This window comes from Homo sapiens, chromosome Y (genome assembly GCF_000001405.40).
Source record: "Homo sapiens chromosome Y, GRCh38.p14 Primary Assembly".
Taxonomy (NCBI): domain Eukaryota; kingdom Metazoa; phylum Chordata; class Mammalia; order Primates; family Hominidae; genus Homo; species Homo sapiens.
In genome coordinates this window covers 13552833-13570499 of record NC_000024.10, presented here as the reverse complement: position 1 = coordinate 13570499, position 17667 = coordinate 13552833, and the positions used below count along the sequence as shown (strand labels likewise).

The window sequence follows — 17667 nt, the reverse complement described above, 5'->3', positions numbered from 1 at the left end:
AATATTAGACCTTTGTCAGATGCATAGTTTGCAAGCATTTTCTCCCATTCTGAAGGCCACCCATTTGGTCAGATGATAGTTTCTTTTGCTGTGCAGAAACTCTTTAAGAACAACAGACACTGGGGCCTACCTGAGGATGGCATGTCAGGGAGGAAGAGGATCAGGAAAAATTATTAATAGGCAGTAGGCTTAACACAATAAATACTCTGCACAGCAACCCCACTGGTATGAGTTTACATATATAAAATACCTTCACATGTGCCCATAAACTTAAAATGCAATCCCATTTACAATATTCACAAAAAGTAAAATATCTGGAAATACAGTTAACCAAATAGGTGAAAGATCTCTATAAAGAGAACTACCAAGCACTGATAGAATAAATTATAGAAAATACAAACAAAAAATACATTGTATAATTATAGTTTAAAGAATCAACCTTTTAAAAATATCCATAATGCCCACAGCAATATATGGATATAGTATTTCTATCAAACTACCAAGTTCAGTTTTCACATAATTAAATAAAATTCTAAAATGCATGTGGAAACAACTAGAAGCTCAAAGCAATCCTAACCAAAGAGCACAAAGCCAGAGGCATTACATTACCAGATTTTCAACTATACTACAATGATTCATTATCCAGAACAGCATGTTATTGTTATGAAGACAGAAAAATGGGCCAATAGAACAGAATAGAGAACTTAGAAAAAATACAGCATAGCTACCACCAACTGATCTTTGAAAAAGTGAACAAGAATAAACAATAAAGAAATGACTGTTTAATAAATAGTGTGGGAAAACTGGCTAACCATATACAGAATAATAAAACTGGACTCCTATTTATCCTCATATACCATATCTTTAAGTCAAGATGAATTAAAGAGTTAAATTTAAACCCTCAAACTACATTCTATAAGAAAACCAGCAAAATGCCATTCTGGATGTTGGTCTTAGCAAATACTTTATGAACAAATAATTAAAAGCAATTGAAACAAAAAGAAAAATTGACAAGTGAGACCTAATTAAAGAACTTCAACACAGCAAAAAAACTGTAAACACAGTAAACAGACAAACTACAAAGTAGGAGAAAAATTTTTGCAAACCATTTATCTTATAAGGGACTAATACCCAAAATAAATTAGGAAATTAAACAGTGCAACAAGGAAAAAACAAATCACTCCATTAAAACACGGGCAAAGGGCATGAACAGACACTCTCCAAAGAAGACTTACAAATGGCCAACAAAGTATGGGAAAAATGCTTCATGTTGCTAATTATCAGAGAAATGTAAATCAAAATAACAATGAGATATCATTACCCATAAGTCAGAATAGCCATGATTAAAATGTCAAAAAAATAAAAGATATTGGTGATGCCATGTGGAAAAGGTAATACTTGCACATTATTGCTGAGAATGTAAATTAGCTCAACAACTGTGGAAATTACTTTGGAGATTTCTCAAAGAGCTAAAAACAGAACTCCCATGTAACCCAACAACCTTATTATTGCTTATATATGCCTAAAAATATGGTTGTACCAAAAATGCACATGCATTCATATCACAGCACTATTTACAATAGCAAAGACATTAAATCAACATAGGTGTCCTTAAGTGGTGGTTTGGATAAAGAAAATATGGTACTTATACAACATAAAATACTACGCAGCCACAAAAAAAGACTTAATGTTTTCTGTAGCCACATGCATGCAGCTAGACACCATTACCCTAAGTCATTTAACACAGAAAACCAAATGTTGCATGTTCTCATTATAAACGGGAACTAAATCTCATGTACACATGGATATAAAAATGAAAACAATAAACACTGTGGGCTCCAAAAAGAGTAAGTTAGAAAGGGGGACAAAGGCTGAAAAAGTTTATATTGGGTACCGTATTTACTATATGGGAGATGGGACCAATAGAAGCCCAAACCTCATCTTCATAAAATATATTCTATAACAAACCACTGAATTGAAAATTAAAATGAAATTTTAAAAAGAAGAAAAAATGTAAGTTGAAAGTGTGTGAGTAACTAGGAGCTGCATCTGGCTTGTATTATTTCAGGAAAAATACAGTTTGTATTCAATGCATATTATCTTGATGCCATTAAAAACTTAACTAACCTCTAAAGATACACATAGACTGAAAACAAAAGGATGGAATAAGATATTTCATTACAACTGAAACAGATCACTATAACTATATTTATATAAGACAAAGAGATTTTAAGACAAAAACTGTAAAAACAGACAAAGTATAATGATAAAGGAGTCAATCCAGAAACAGGATATAACAATTGCAAGTATACATATTCACCCAACACTAGAGCACCCAGATAATTAAAGCAAATATTATTAGAGTTAAAGAGAGCAATAGACTTCAATACAACAATAACTGGACACTTTAACACCCCACTTTCAGCATTGTGCAGATCTCTGAGAGAGAAACTCAACAAAGAAATATTGGACTTAATCTGCACTATAGGCCAAATGCGGCTAATAGATATTTACAAAACATTTCATCCAGTGCCTGCAGAATACACATTCTTCCCAGAAGCAGACGAATCATTCTCAAGGACAGAACATATATTAGGTCACAAAACAATTCTTAAAATATTCCAGAGCTAAAATAATATCAAGTGTCTTATCTGGCCACAATAAACCAGGCTAGAAATCAACAAAAAGAGGAATTTTTGAAACTATATAACCCATGAATATTAGACATTATGCTCCTGAATGACCAGCTGGTCAATCAAGAAATTAAGAAGGAAATAAAAAAATTTATTGAACCATGATAATGGAAACACAACATTGTCTAAGATAATGTCTGGAGTTTTGTGTCCTATCTCCAAGATGATTAAGGAGTATGGAAACACAGGTGAGGTTAGAGTGAATGATTAACGAGTGAAAGAGGAAAGCTCTCTGCCAGCACAAAAAGGGGGTCCTGAATGGGAGTATCCCCTATGAGGTGGGGTCCATGGTTTTCATGGACTGGGAAGGAGAAGGAGTACGCTTACTCTGCAGGCTGTTTTAGCAAATGTGCAACTCAGCTTGGCCTAGGACCTTGGCCTGGGACCAATGAGGAGGTGAAATGATGTTTCATAATTGCTGCTTAGCTTGGCCTAAGACCTATCAGAAGTTGATGTGAAAGCTTGGCCTGGGACCTTGGCTCAGGACAAATCAGAGGCTGAGATGATGATTCATAGAAGCCAAACTTATAGTTCTAATAAATAAAAGTAGGGTGCCCACTGGGACCTACCAGAGTCCACTGTGCCCATGACCACAAAAGAAGAAGAAACATTTTCCTGGGAGCCTGCTGACTATACAAAAGATAAAGGCATTCCCTTCTCTGAGTGAGCTGGAGGTTTGTGCACAATTATATCCAAATGGGTTTGGAGGTTTTTCAATCTGTGCAGTAATGGACCTGTCTGCAGGCACAACACCCTGTGCAAGTTTCCTTATTGGTGCCTGCAGCTTGAATTATTTCCCAGGCTGCTTTTTATGTTATGTGGGGATGAGGCACTGACCCATTAGCCTGGGACTCTCCGTGACTCTTCCCTTGTTATCTAACTAGAGCATTGATTTTTCTGGCTACTTTTTGCTAGAGAGGTGCATTGTGTTAGGAACAGCAGCTAGGATTCCTCCCAAGGTTGGCTTACATGTTATTCATTCATGGAAAGGTGCATTCATGCATGGTTCCATTTGCATCACTGTTTGGAGTTTGATAGCCTCTAGATGAAAAGAAACAATTTTGGTTATTAGAGGACATGTATTAAAATGAGACAAGGGGGGTAAAAGCAGCTTAAAAATGTTAAGGCTGCTTACATGTCCCCGTAACTAGTGGCTAGAGTTGGGCTTGCTAAGATTTGGGTGCATAGGGCTTGGCTTTGGTTAGCTTTCTTGATTTTTTTTCTTTCAAGGAAATTTCTGGGCTATGGGCATCATATTTGTTCCCATTACCCAGAAGGAGCTGCAAAACAATTGCTCAGAGCCAGAATATTGATCTAGAGTTTTACATTCCCCATCCTTCTGTCACCTCTGAGCTATAGCTGGAGATTCCTGGTTGGCTCATAGGAATAAGCACAATTATTTTAAAATGTAGACAAATACTTAAAAATAACTAATGAAACTAGAAGTTAATGATAAATGTATGATAAGTTTTAAAACATAATTTCTTTCTCTTCAGTTCTCATTTTTGTTAAAAGCAACTTATGATAGGACACGGCTATTTGCAAAATAGACTTTAGTATTATACTTGGCATAATTATTTGCATAAAGTGCAGCAAGAATAATCACCTTTATGTAGTCCTTTTTGACTGGCATTGATGGAACTCTGTTCCACAAGGAATCTCAGGCAGAACTCCTTAAAACAAGGCTAGCCTTGGGTTTGTATTTTCAAATACCTGTGAGCGTTGGGTAAACTTTTTTTTTTTTTTTTTTTTTGCAGTTCCAGGAGCATTGGTTTCCTAGGCCTGTTAGAAAGTGACATTCTTTACTCACCACAGGTCAGGAATCCTGTACAGAGACTGTGTAGACAAAATATGAGGTCAGTTTTCCCAAGCGGCTTTTATCCGCTCTGCAAGCCAAGCTTGATTCCTTAAAGGGAAACACACCCATCTAGTCAAGGCCTTGGTAAAACAACCAGTTTTTTCAATTGTGTCTTGTTGCAAAAGAAAATAAATTCCTGTTGCACTGATGCAAACAACTATACTGTTGTAAGTAAAAAAACAGTCATAACTAGTTTTTGAATTTTAGAAGAACTAGGCAGAGAGAAATAAACATGTTCGAAATTTTGTTCATAGGAGTATACCTTGCTCAGTTGTTGAAAGAAGGTGTTTTTGTGTGTGTGTGTGTGTTTTTTTTTTTTTTTTGAGGCAGAGTCTCACTCTGTCACCCAGGCTGGATCACAGTGACTCAATCTCAGCTCACTGCAATCACCACCTCCCGGGTTCAAGCAATTCTCCTGCCTCAGCCTCCTGAATGTCTGGGATTACAGGCATGTGCCACCATGCTCAGCTAATGTTTGTATTTTTAGTGGAGATGCGGGTTTCACCACGTTGGTCAGGCTGGTCTTGAATTCCTGACCTTGTGATCCACTCACCTCAGCCTCCCAAAGTGCTGGGATTACAGTCATGAGCCACCGTGCCTGGCCAAAAGCTTTTAAGGAATTTTCCTTGAGTCTGAAAAACAAAAAAGGATCAGCAGGAGGAGCCAAGATGGCCGAATAGGAACAGCTCCGGTCTACAGCTCCCAGCGTGAGCGACGCAGAAGACGGGTGATTTCTGCATTTCCATCTGAGGTACCGGGTTCATCTCACTAGGGAGTGCCAGACAGTGGGCGCAGGCCAGTGGGTGCAAGCACCGTTCGGGAGCCGAAGCAGGGCGAGGCATTGCCTCACCTGGGAAGCGCAAGGGGTCAGGGAGTTCCCTTTCCGAGTCAAAGAAAGGGGTGATGGACCCACCTGGAAAATCGGGTCACTCCCACCCGAATATTGTTCTTTTCAGACCGGCTTAAAAAACGGCGCACCACGACACTATATCCCGCACCTGGCTCGGAGGGTCCTACACCCACGGAGTCTCGCTGATTGCTAGCACAGCAGTCTGAGATCAAACTGCAAGGCGGCAGCGAGGCTGGGGGAGGGGAGCCCGCCATTGCCCAGGCTTGCTTAGGCAAACAAAGCAGCCCAGAAGCTCGAACTGGGTGGAGCCCACCACAGTTCAAGGAGGCCTGCCTGCCACTGTAGGCTCCACCTCTGGGGGCAGGGCACAGAAAAACAAAAAGACAGCAGTAACCTCTGCAGACTTAAATGTCCCTGTCTGACAGCTTTGAAGAGAGCAGTGGTTCTCCCAGCCCGCAGCTGGAGATCTGAGAACCCGCAGACTGCCTCTCAAGTGGGTCCCTGACCCCTGACCCCGAGCAGCCTAACTGGGAGGCACCCCACAGCAGGGGCACATTGACACCTCACAATGCAAGGTATTCCAACAGACCTGCAGCTGAGGGTCCTGTCTATTAGAAGGAAAACTAACAAACAGAAAGGACATCCACACCGAAAACCCATCTGTACATCACCATCATCAAAGACCAAAAGTAGATAAAACCACAAAGATGGGGAAAAAACAGAACAGAAAAACTGGAAACTCTAAAACACAGAGCAACTCTCCTCCTCCAAAGGAACGCAGTTCCTCACCAGCAACGGAACGAAGCTGGATGGAGAATGACTTTGACGAGCTGAGAGAAGGCTTCAGACGATCAAATTACTCTGAGCTATGGGAGGACATTCAAACCAAAGGCAAAGAAGTTGAAAACTTTGAAAAAAATTTAGAAGAATGTATAACTAGAATAACCAATACAGAGAAGTGCTTAAAGGAGCTGATGGAGCTGAAAACCAAGGCTCGAGAACTACGTGAAGAATGCAGAAGCCTCAGGAGCCGATGCGATCAACTGGAAGAAAGGGTATCAGCAATGGAAGATGAAATGAATGAAATGAAGTGAGAAGGGAAGTTTAGAGAAAAAAGAATAAAAAGAAATGAGCAAAGCCTCCAAGAAATATGGGACTATGTGAAAAGACCAAATCTACGTCTGATTGGTGTACCTGAAAGTGATGGGGAGAATGGAACCAAGTTGGAAAACACTCTGCAGGATATTATCCAGGAGAACTTCCCCAATCTAGCAAGGCAGGCCAACGTTCAGATTCAGGAAATACAGAGAATGCCACAAAGATACTCCTCGAGAAGAGCAACTCCAAGACACATAATTGTCAGATTCACCAAAGTTGAAATGAAGGAAAAAATGTTAAGGGCAGCCAGAGAGAAAGGTCGGGTTACCCTCAAAGGGAAGCCCATCAGACTAACAGCGGATCTCTCGGCAGAAACCCTCCAAGCCAGAAGAGAGTGGGGGCCAATATTCAACATTCTTAAAGAAAAGAATTTTCAACCCAGAATTTCATATCCAGCCAAACTAAGCTTCATAAGTGAAGGAGAAATTAAATACTTTACAGACAAGCAAATGCTGAGAGATTTTGTCACTAACAGGCCTGCCCTAAAAGAGCTCCTGAAGGAAGCGCTAAACATGGAAACGAACAACCAGTACCAGCCACTGCAAAATCATGCCAAAATGTAAAGACCATCAAGACTAGGAAGAAACTGCATCAACTAACGAGCAAAATCACCAGCTAACATCATAATGACAGGATCAAATTCACACATAACAATATTAACTTTAAATGTAAATGGACTAAATGCTCCAATTAAAAGACACAGACTGAAAAATTGGATAAAGAGTCAAGACCCATCAGTGTGCTGTATTCAGGAAACCCATCTCACGTGCAGAGACACACATAGGCTCAAAATAAAAGGATGGAGGAAGATCTACCAAGCAAATGGAAAACAAAAAAAGGCAGGGGTTGCAATCCTAGTCTCTGATAAAACAGACTTTAAACCAACAAAGATCAAAGAGACAAAGAAGGCCATTACATAATGGTAAAGGGATCAATTCAACAGGAAGAGCTAACTATCCTAAATATATATGCACCCAATACAGGAGCACCCAGATTCATAAAGCAAGTCCTGAGTGACCTACAAAGAGACTTAGACTCCCACACATTAATAATGGGAGACTTTAACACCCCACTGTCAACATTAGACAGATCAACGAGACAGAAAGTCAAAAAGGATACCCAGAAATTGAACTCAGCTCTGCACCAAGCAGACCTAATAGACATCTACAGAACTCTCCACTCCAAATCAACAGAATATACATTTTTTTCAGCACCACACCACACCTATTCGAAAATTGACCACATACTTGGAAGTAAAGCTCTCCTCAGCAAATGTAAAAGAACACAAATTATAACAAGCTATCTCTCAGACCACAGTGCAATCAAACTAGAACTTAGGATTAAGAATCTCACTCAAAGCCGCTCAACTACATGGAAACTGAACAACCTGCTCCTGAATGACTACTGGGTACATAACGAAATGAAGGCAGAAATAAAGATGTTCTTTGAAACCAACGAGAACAAAGACACGACATACCAGAATCTCTGGGACGTATTCAAAGCAGTGTGTAGAGGGAAATTTATAGCACTAAATGCCCACAAGAGAAAGCAGGAAAGATCCAAAATTGACACCCTAACATCACAATTAAAAGAACTAGAAAAGCAAGAGCAAACACATTCAAAAGCTAGCAGAAGGCAAGAAATAACTAAAATCAGAGCAGAACTGAAGGAAATAGAGACACAAAAAACCATTCAAAAAAATCAATGAATCCAAGAGCTGGTTTTTTGAAAGGATCAACAAAATTGATAGACCGCTAGCAAGACTAATAAAGAAAAAAAGAGAGAAGAATCAAATAGATGCAATAAAAAATGATAAAGGGGATATCACCACTGATCCCACAGAAATACAAACTACCATCAGAGAATACTACAAACACCTCTACGCAAATAAACTGGAAAATCTAGAAGAAATGGATAAATTCCTCGACACATACACTCTCCCAAGACTAAACCAGGAAGAAGTTGCATCTCTGAATAGACCAATAACAGGAGCTGAAATTGTGGCAATAATCAATAGTTTACCAACCAAAAAGAGTCCAGGACCAGATGGATTCACAGCCGAATTCTACCAGAGGTACAAGGAGGAACTGGTACCATTCCTTCTGAAACTATTCCAATCAATAGAAAAAGAGGGAATCCTCCCTAACTCATTTTATGAGGCCAGCATCATTCTGATACCAAAGCCGGGCAGAGACACAACCAAAAAACAGAATTTTAGACCAATATCCTTGATGAACATTGATGTAAAAATCGGCAATAAAATACTGGCAAACCGAATCCAGCAGCACATCAAAAAGCTTATCCACCATGATCAAGTGGGCTTCATCCCTGGGATGCAAGGCTGGTTCAATATACGCAAATCAATAAATGTAATTCAGCATATAAACAGAGCCAAAGACAAAAACCACATGATTATCTCAATAGATGCAGAAAAAGCCTTTGACAAAATTCAACAACTCTTCATGCTAAAAACTCTCAATAAATTAGGTATTGATGGGACGTATTTTAAAATGATAAGAGCTATCTATGACAAACCCACAGCCAGTATCATACTGAATGGGCAAAAACTAGAAGCATTCCCTTTGAAAACTGGCACAAGACAGGGATGCCCTCTCTCACCACTCCTATTCAACATAGTGTTGGAAGTTCTGGCCAGGACAATTAGGCAGGAGAAGGAAATAAAGGGTATTCAATTAGGAAAAGAGGAAGTCAAATTGTCCCTCTTTGCAGACAACATGATTGTATATCTAGAAAACCCCATTGTCTCAGCCCAAAATCTCCTTAAGCTGATAAGCAACTTCAGCAAAGTCTCAGGATACAAAATCAATGTACAAAAATCACAAGCATTCTTATACACCAACAACACACAAACAGAGAGCCAAATCATGAGTGAACTCCCATTCACAATTGCTTCAAAGAGAATAAAATACCTAGGAATCCAACCTACAAGGGATGTGAAGGACCTCTTCAAGGAGAACTACAAACTGCTGCTCAAAGAAATAAAAGAGGATACAAACAAATGGAAGAACATTCCATGCTCATGGGTAGGAAGAATCAATATCGTGAAAATGGCCATACTGCCCAAGGTAATTTACAGATTCAATGCCATCCCCATCAAGCTGCCAATGCCTTTCTTCACAGAATTGGAAAAAACTACTTTAAAGTTCATATGGAACCAAAAAAGAGCCCACATCGCCAAGTCAATCCTAAGCCAAAAGAGCAAAGCTGGAGGCATCACACTACCTGACTTCAAACTATCCTACAAGGCTACAGTAACCAAAACAGCATGGTACTGGTACCAAAACAGAGATATAGATCAATGGAACAGAACAGAGCCCTCAGAATTAACGCCACATACCTACAACTATCTGATCTTTGACAAACCTGAGAAAAACAAGCAATGGAGAAAGGATTCCCTATTTAATAAATGGTGCTGGGAAAACTGGCTAGCCATATGTAGAAAGCTGAAACTGGATCCCTTCCTTACACCTTATACAAAAATCAATTCAAGATGGATTAAAGATTTAAATGTTAGACCTAAAACCATAAATACCCTAAAAGAAAACCTAGGAATTACCATTCAGGACATAGGCATGGGGAAGGACTTCATGTCCAAAACACCAAAAGCAATGGCAACAAAAGACAAAATTGACAAATGGGATCTAATTAAAATAAAGAGCTTCTGCACAGCAAAAGAAACTACCATCAGAGTGAACAGGCAACCTACAAAATGGGAGAAAACTTTCGCAACCTACTCATCTGACAAAGGGCTAATATCCAGAATCTACAATGAACTCAAATTTACAAGAAAAAAACAAACAACCCCATCAAAAAGTGGGCGAAGGACATGAACAGACACTTCTCAAAAGAAGACATTTATGCAGCCAAAAAACACATGAAAAAATGCTCATCATCACTGGCCATCAGAGAAATGCAAATCAAAACCACTATGAGATACCATCTCACTCCAGTTAAAATGGCAATCATTACAAAGTCAGGAAACAACAGGTGCTGGAGAGAATGTGGAGAAACAGGAACACTTTTACACTGTTGGTGGGACTGTAAACTAGTTCAACCATTGTGGAAGTCAGTGTGCCAATTCCTCAGGGATCTAGAACTAGAAATACCATTTGACCCAGCCATCCCATTACTGGGTATATACCCAAAGGACTATAAATCATGCTGCTATAAAGACACATGCGCACGTATGTTTATTGCGGCATTATTCACAATAGCAAAGACTTGGAACCAACCCAAATGTCCAACAATGATAGACTGGATTAAGAAAATGTGGAACATATACACCATGGAATACTATGCAGCCATAAAAAATGATGAGTTCACGTCCTTTGTAGGGACATGGATGAAACTGGAAATCATCATTCTCAGTAAACTATCACAAGAACAAAAAACCAAACACCGCATATTCTCACTCATAGGTGGGAATTGAACAATGAGATCACATGGACACAGGAAGGGGAATATCACACTCTGGGGACTGTTGTGGGGTCGGGGGAGGGGAGAGGGATAACACTGGGAGATATACCTAATGGTAGATGACGAGTTAGTGGGTGCAGCGCACCAGCACGGCACATGTATACATATGTAACTAACCTGCACAATGTGCACATGTACCCTAAAACTTAAAGTATAATTAAAAAAAAAAAAACGCAAAAAAAAAAAGGATCAGCAATGTTCCAAGCAAAAATCAAAAAACATTGCTTTCATTTTTGATTAGTTTAGTCCACCTCATTAAGTATTGTTTTGCTTGATATTTATAAACATTTTAGCTTTTCATGAGTTTTGTATGTTTTTCTGAGAAACTTGCATTTGAGAGAACCTGCTAATAATGTCCAACAGTTTGATTATAAACTATCTTTTGAAGAGAATTAAAAGGAGACACTTGTCTGTAAGTGACAAAATGTTCAGGATAGTTACAGTCAGAAACTCAATTGACAAGAAAATTTGGTTATTTCTGTGGTTTGCCATAACCCAACATAATAATCTTAATTGTAATTGATAGCATATATCCACACATTAAAACCTTGGAAATTCCATGCAGTTTTGGAATATATGTTAATATTATTCAGTAAAATATAACCTGAAGATTAGACCTAATTTTAGCAATCTCATATTTATAAACATGTTAAATAATCCTGTTTACCTTTTTTCTAGATGCTTCAGAGGCTGTTTGCAATACCCAAAAGCCAGGCACCAGGAACGACATCATTGAAACTTAAATTTTATTTTGGGAATTCTGTTGAACATTCTGGAGTTTTAAAATACTTGATATCATGAAATAAAATTTCAGATTACCATAAGTCATTTGTTTTGCCCAAAAAAAGACTTGAGAACTTGAAAATGCAAAACCTTTCATTAGCCTTTATTATTACATAAAAATTATGTTTAAGAGAAAGCCAAAATTCACCCTTGCATTTGTTTATCATTAATGTTAATGCTAATTTTAATGAAATCTTATAGCCAATTCTATTTAATTTTAACCAATTTGACCATGAGGTGAGATTTTCACAAACCTTTTATAACCCTCTACAAATTTTGCTAAAGAGTAGATTAGCATTTTAAGAAAACCTTGCTGTGCTTTTATTTTAATGCTTGATTTTAAAAACTATATAATAACCTTTTGAATTTAGTTAATATTTTCATGAACAAAATTTCATTTCAAGATTGATTTTTATAATCTTTTCACAATTGCTTAAAACTTGTTTTATTTTATTTAAGCCAATCCTTTATGTTTAGACAAAATATACATTTTCATGTCTTTTTATAATCTTTTACTGAAAACATACTTTACTATTTTTAATACCTTGCATGTAAGCCTTTTTTTTTTTTTTTTTTGTGGGGAGATGGAGTCTCACTCTGTCGCACAGGTTGGAGTGAAGTGGCGCGATCTTGGCTCACTGCAAGCTCTGCCTCCTGGGTTCATGCCATTCTCCTGCCTCAGCCTCCCAAGTAGCTAGGACTACAGGCACATGCCACCACGCCTGGCTAATCTTTTTGTATTTTTAGTAGATACGGGATTTCACCGTGTTAGCCAGGATGGTCTCGATCTCCTGACCTCATGATCCACCTGCCTCAGCCTCTCAAAGTGCTGGGATTACAGACATGAGCCACTGCACCCAGCCATAAGTCTATTTTTAATAGTTTCAATTACATGTCATAATGGTAACTCAGCAATTACTAACTTGAATGTGAAACCTGGTAAGTTGTTTTAATTATGTGCTAGGTACAGTTAAAGTTTGAAATTTTCCAGCATAGTTACGGGCATGGACACTTCCATATGTCCCTAGGCCTTACTCGTTGTGAAGCAGAAAAGTTGAACAGTTCTTAAAGGCCAAAGAAGCAATTTAAAACCTTAAAATATTTAGCAAACCTAGTAACTTACCGGCATAATTTAGACCACCTATTTACATCTCAAAGACATCTGGATTTTATCAATATGCTACAAGGCTGTTTGTATTTCTTAAAGAATAAAGTCACATGAACCAATAGGCACTACAGCCTTTACTTTTTTCTTAAAAATATCTCATCCAAGTGCTTATTCTTCTTTAAGTCAATTAATTAGAGCTCCTTTTTTAAATAGACATCACACACGTAACGCATGTATAACCACACAGACACACAGAGGAAGACCCTATAGTTATATCTTTCATTTGCTAATTTCCCAGTTGGATTATTGGCCTCCTGGTGAGGCCCTTTAAGAACAGGGCTAGGAATACAATTTCCAAGGCCTAATAAACAAGCATAGATGGAAGACCAACACAGATTTTGAGAGGGTCCTATTCACCCCTAATTACAGGGGCTCCATGAGGAAAACAGAGATTTCTCCCAAAGTGGGATATGTGGTGCCTTGTCTGTTTTCCTGAAGAGTCCCAGGCCACCAGAAGTCATTACAGGGTCTTTCATGCATTTACTAGAGTGGCAAGACACAGAGGAGAAAAGTAATTCTGTTGACTGAGGGAAAAAAACCTCTTCCAGAAACAAGATATTTGAAGAGAAAACTGTAAAAGCCTTTTAAATATAACTATAGCTTAGATATCCCCTTTTAATTAAGCTGAGTACACTTTAAGAAAATCATTTTTTATTAATTAAAATTTTACATAGAAGATAAACTGATTTTTATCATTTCTTTTACTGGTTTATACTACTACCTGTTCACAATTATGTTCAGGCTCTCCACTTCCCTCTGGGAGAAGGTGGCTGGGTTTAGGCAAAAGCAGTTTGTTTTACTGGACTTCAGATCCCTCTAGCAGCAGAGCTTGATATTTGAGGAGGTGATTGTTAATCAGAGACCTCCCTTAGAGAACAGCAGTCCTACTACTGTACGGGGTGCAAACAGTTCACTTGTTCCCCATGGTTAATCCTGGCTGTAGAGCTGGACCTCAAGCCTTAGCCAAAACTCCAAAGGCTATTTTCTTCCTTTCTGTTACATAATGATTAAATACCTTCCCTATGGAAAGACTGAGGGCTGGTGTTTTAAGTAAGGCTAGCTTTAGCTGGTTTACGGTTTTCGTGTTTTAGGTTCCCATGTTAGAAAGTGAGTTCTAGCTGCTGTTAGAGAGTGAGTTCTAGCTGAGTTTTTGTGTTTTAGGTTCCCATATTAGAGAATGAGTTTGTTTTATGAGGTAGTATAAAGGATCAGCTATTTCATTGCACCAGGTACCCACAGTCTGCAAAATTCAGTAATGCCCAAGAATCCCATTAACTGTTAAAAGAAATGGGCTTAATCTTTTCTTCATCTGGTGTTTTCATCCCTCCTGATAAGACTAAATCTAGGTACTTTATGTTTGTTTTACAGAGCTGAGCTTTAGATTTTGAGAACCTGTACTCTATTTCAGCTAAAACATTGAGCAGAGCCTTGTTGACTTCTTGAGACCTCCTCAGTTGGGGCAGAGAGGAGAATATTATTTACATGCTTCAAAGCTTAAACTTGAGAGTGAGAAAAACTGGAAAGATCTTTAGACAGAACCTGTTTCAGCAACTTCCTTTTGACATCAGGGACTGCCTGAGTAATTAACTTTTTTTTTTTCTTTAATTGAATTGGGAGACAGGGACATGTGTTTCACTAAAGCTTTTCTCAGCCTTTCCAAAGAGTGAGGGGAATTTTCATCTGGTTTCAGCTTCAACAAGCACAGTTTAGAATAATTGAGAGGTTTGGTTTTAGTTCTTTGTAAGCCTTTTAAAATGCACATAAAAATTGTTTTCTTTTCTACTTATCTATGGAATTACTGGGCTTCAATTAGGGTATTTAAAGGGGTATGTTTCTCTTCCTATTGGAAATGGGGACCATGGCTCTTTTTTACCCTCTTTCCCCTTTTGATTGGCTTTCTTTTGACAGGCTATAGGAGGGATACTGTTTCTCTCTGAATATCTCTGCCCGTTTTTTTAACAGTTAGGGTTTGGCTTAAAAGTTGCATAACATCTCTTCACATAAGATTAAACACTTGGGTTGAATTTCGGAAAACCCCTATATATTTATCAGTGTCATTGGAGAACTTGACTAGGTCCCCCTTTATTTGCCTAAGGTCCTGCAATAAGAAGGGAACTTTAACCCTAGTGGCACCATGCCTATTGGGCATTTTCTGCAGGGACAAGAGCAAAGTTGGGAATTTCTTGAATGGCACAACAAGAGGAGTTAATGATTTGGCTACTGGGATCCCCAAATAACTGGGGCAGGTAGGGCACCCAGTAGTTGCATTTGAGGGTTCCCCAGTGGTTTGTCTCTCTGACTTTGGGTAATCATCCTTTGTGGGCGTGCCTGACAGGCCTGCCAAGAAGACAGTGTCAACTGTACAATGCTTATAAAAATGTGGATTTTCCCACAAAACTAAAAACTAAAACTATGTGGTTTCCCACATAGGAAACCAGGGGCCACTTGCCCTTCTGCCTACAGAAAAGATCTGGTTGTTGAATAGTACAGAAATCAAGACTTCCCTCAGAAGGTCAAGTTTGTTTATCCCCAACATAATAACAAGGTCAGGCCCTTGCACAATAAAATATAAACCATTTTCTCTTCAGAGTCTCAGGGTCAAATGAGGTCCAGTGATTTGAAATGCACTGAAGGGGAGTACAAACTGCATATGGTTTTTTATGTTACCCATCTAGAAAGAGAGGGAGACAACACATCCCTCAGTCCCCTTCCTCTTTTTGTGTGACCCAGGGTTGAGTGAGAGAAAGCACATCCCACTTCTCCTCTTACCTCCTCTTCTCTGGGTCCCATGGACCACCAGAGGTGCTGTCCATGGATACAAGCATGACCTTTCATCTATGACCCCAGAAAAGCTAGTTGGTGGGTTTTAGTCACACTTACCTGCTCAAAACCCTATCCTTCTGTCCTGCTGGATTCCTAGATCCACTTAACACAGAAGGCTCTCAAGGTACCCCAAAGGCTTGGGAGAGATTATGTAGTAGTTGGAGCTGGGCAAGACTTCTTAATGGAGGGAGTGTCCTAACACTATCTCTGGCTTCATTTGCTATGGCCTCAGGAAAAAAGTCAAAATCCCACAGAATGGAACTGATTAATTTTCAAACATAAAATTCCTTTTCTGTTTAAATTCCAATGTAGTTGAATGCAAAGCAGATGCCTCAAAAGAGTGTAAAAATTGAATGTTTGCCCCCCTTTGTTGGGGACAGTATTGAAGCTAAGATCTGTATTATCAGGATGGCTTTCTCCTGGCTGTTGAAAGTGGAGTTTTTCTGTCACTACATAAGACATGGGGCCTGATCATTGATAGAAGAATGTAAAAGGGAAAAGAATTGGGAGAGTAGAGGTTTGGGACTGACAGCTGATAAGACTCCCCATGGAGAAAAATCCCTTTCAACTATGTGGCACCGTAGGGTTAGAAATGTTAGGTAAAGTCCAGGCGCAGTGGCTCACACCTGTAATCCCAGCACTTTGGGAGGATGAGGCAGGCAGGTCACAAGGTCAGGAGATAGAGATCATCCTCACTAAAATGGTGAAAACATGTCTCTACTAAAAATACAAAAAATTAGTCGAGCATGGTGGTGGGCACCTGTAATCCCAGCTACTCGGGAGGCTGAAGCAGGAGAATTGCTTGACCCTGGGAGGCAGAGGTTGCAGTAAGCTGAGATCACACCACTCCACTCCAGCCTGGGTGACACAGACAGACTCTGGCTAAATTAAAATAAAATAAAATAAAATAAAAATTAAAAAAGAAATGTTAGGTAAAATCTCTAACTCTAAATTATTTTCAGGCAAAATTTAGAAAGAAAGGTTTGGATTTGATAGGCTGTCCATATAACATGGCTTCCAGCATAAGAAAATTAATTTGTTTCATAAAAGAACTGATTAAATTCACTGGACAATGCTGAACTCTTAATGAAGTAAAAAAACAACTTAAAAGTGGAGGAGGATATTCACTCAGGGTGAAATATTCTCCCATTCAGTGCTATGAATGTCCATCATTGAGGGATAGAAGGGGCATTACTAGGTGAAAACTTAGATTGAAATACTGAATTCCCCCTGTTTCTAGGAAATCACAAAACAACAACTCTTTGAATTACATTCCTCATTTCTAAAACACCTACTAACTACCCAGCAAGACTATGTCTCTAGGTTGCAAAAATACCCACAACATTGTATTCAAAGAACGAATAGGAGACATGATAGCTGTGAGAGAAAAGAAGGAAAATGTGATAGGAATAAGTCCTGGGGCTGGCCCTGTTGAGCTGTCATGCAATGGAGTTAGTCTAAGGGCCTTCAGATAACTCTGGGGTGTAGTCCCAGCCAGAAATCTTAAGTAGCCCTAAGACCTCCTTCCAATCCCACACAATGGCTTAGGCCCTCCGTGAAAGTGAGACGAGATGTCTTCTTCCCATCAAAGGTTTTTCTCCATCGAAGGGTTCATGGTCTCATGGGCTTCAAGGAATGAAGCATGGACTCAGCAGCGAGTGTTATAGCTTGATTAGAGAAACGCATGGATCCAAAGAGTGTGCAACGGCAAGACTTACTAAAGCAAAAGTGAAAGTAAAGCAAAAGTAAAGCTTCCACATGGTGGAAGTGGACCTGGAAGGGTTGCTGTCTCTGACTTCGGTGTCCTATGCTTATATCCACTTATGACTCCTCCCTT

The 17667-nt window shown here is 39.0% G+C and overlaps 1 annotated feature.

The window, feature by feature from the left end:
* Positions 4949 to 5449: an enhancer, noted in NCBI's record as "H3K27ac hESC enhancer chrY:15676931-15677431 (GRCh37/hg19 assembly coordinates)". NCBI's record gives its function as "activates a minimal SCP1, AML or CMV promoter by ChIP-STARR-seq in primed H9 embryonic stem cells {active_cell/tissue: H9 hESC(primed)}" and the evidence as "EXISTENCE:reporter gene assay evidence [ECO:0000049][PMID:30033119]".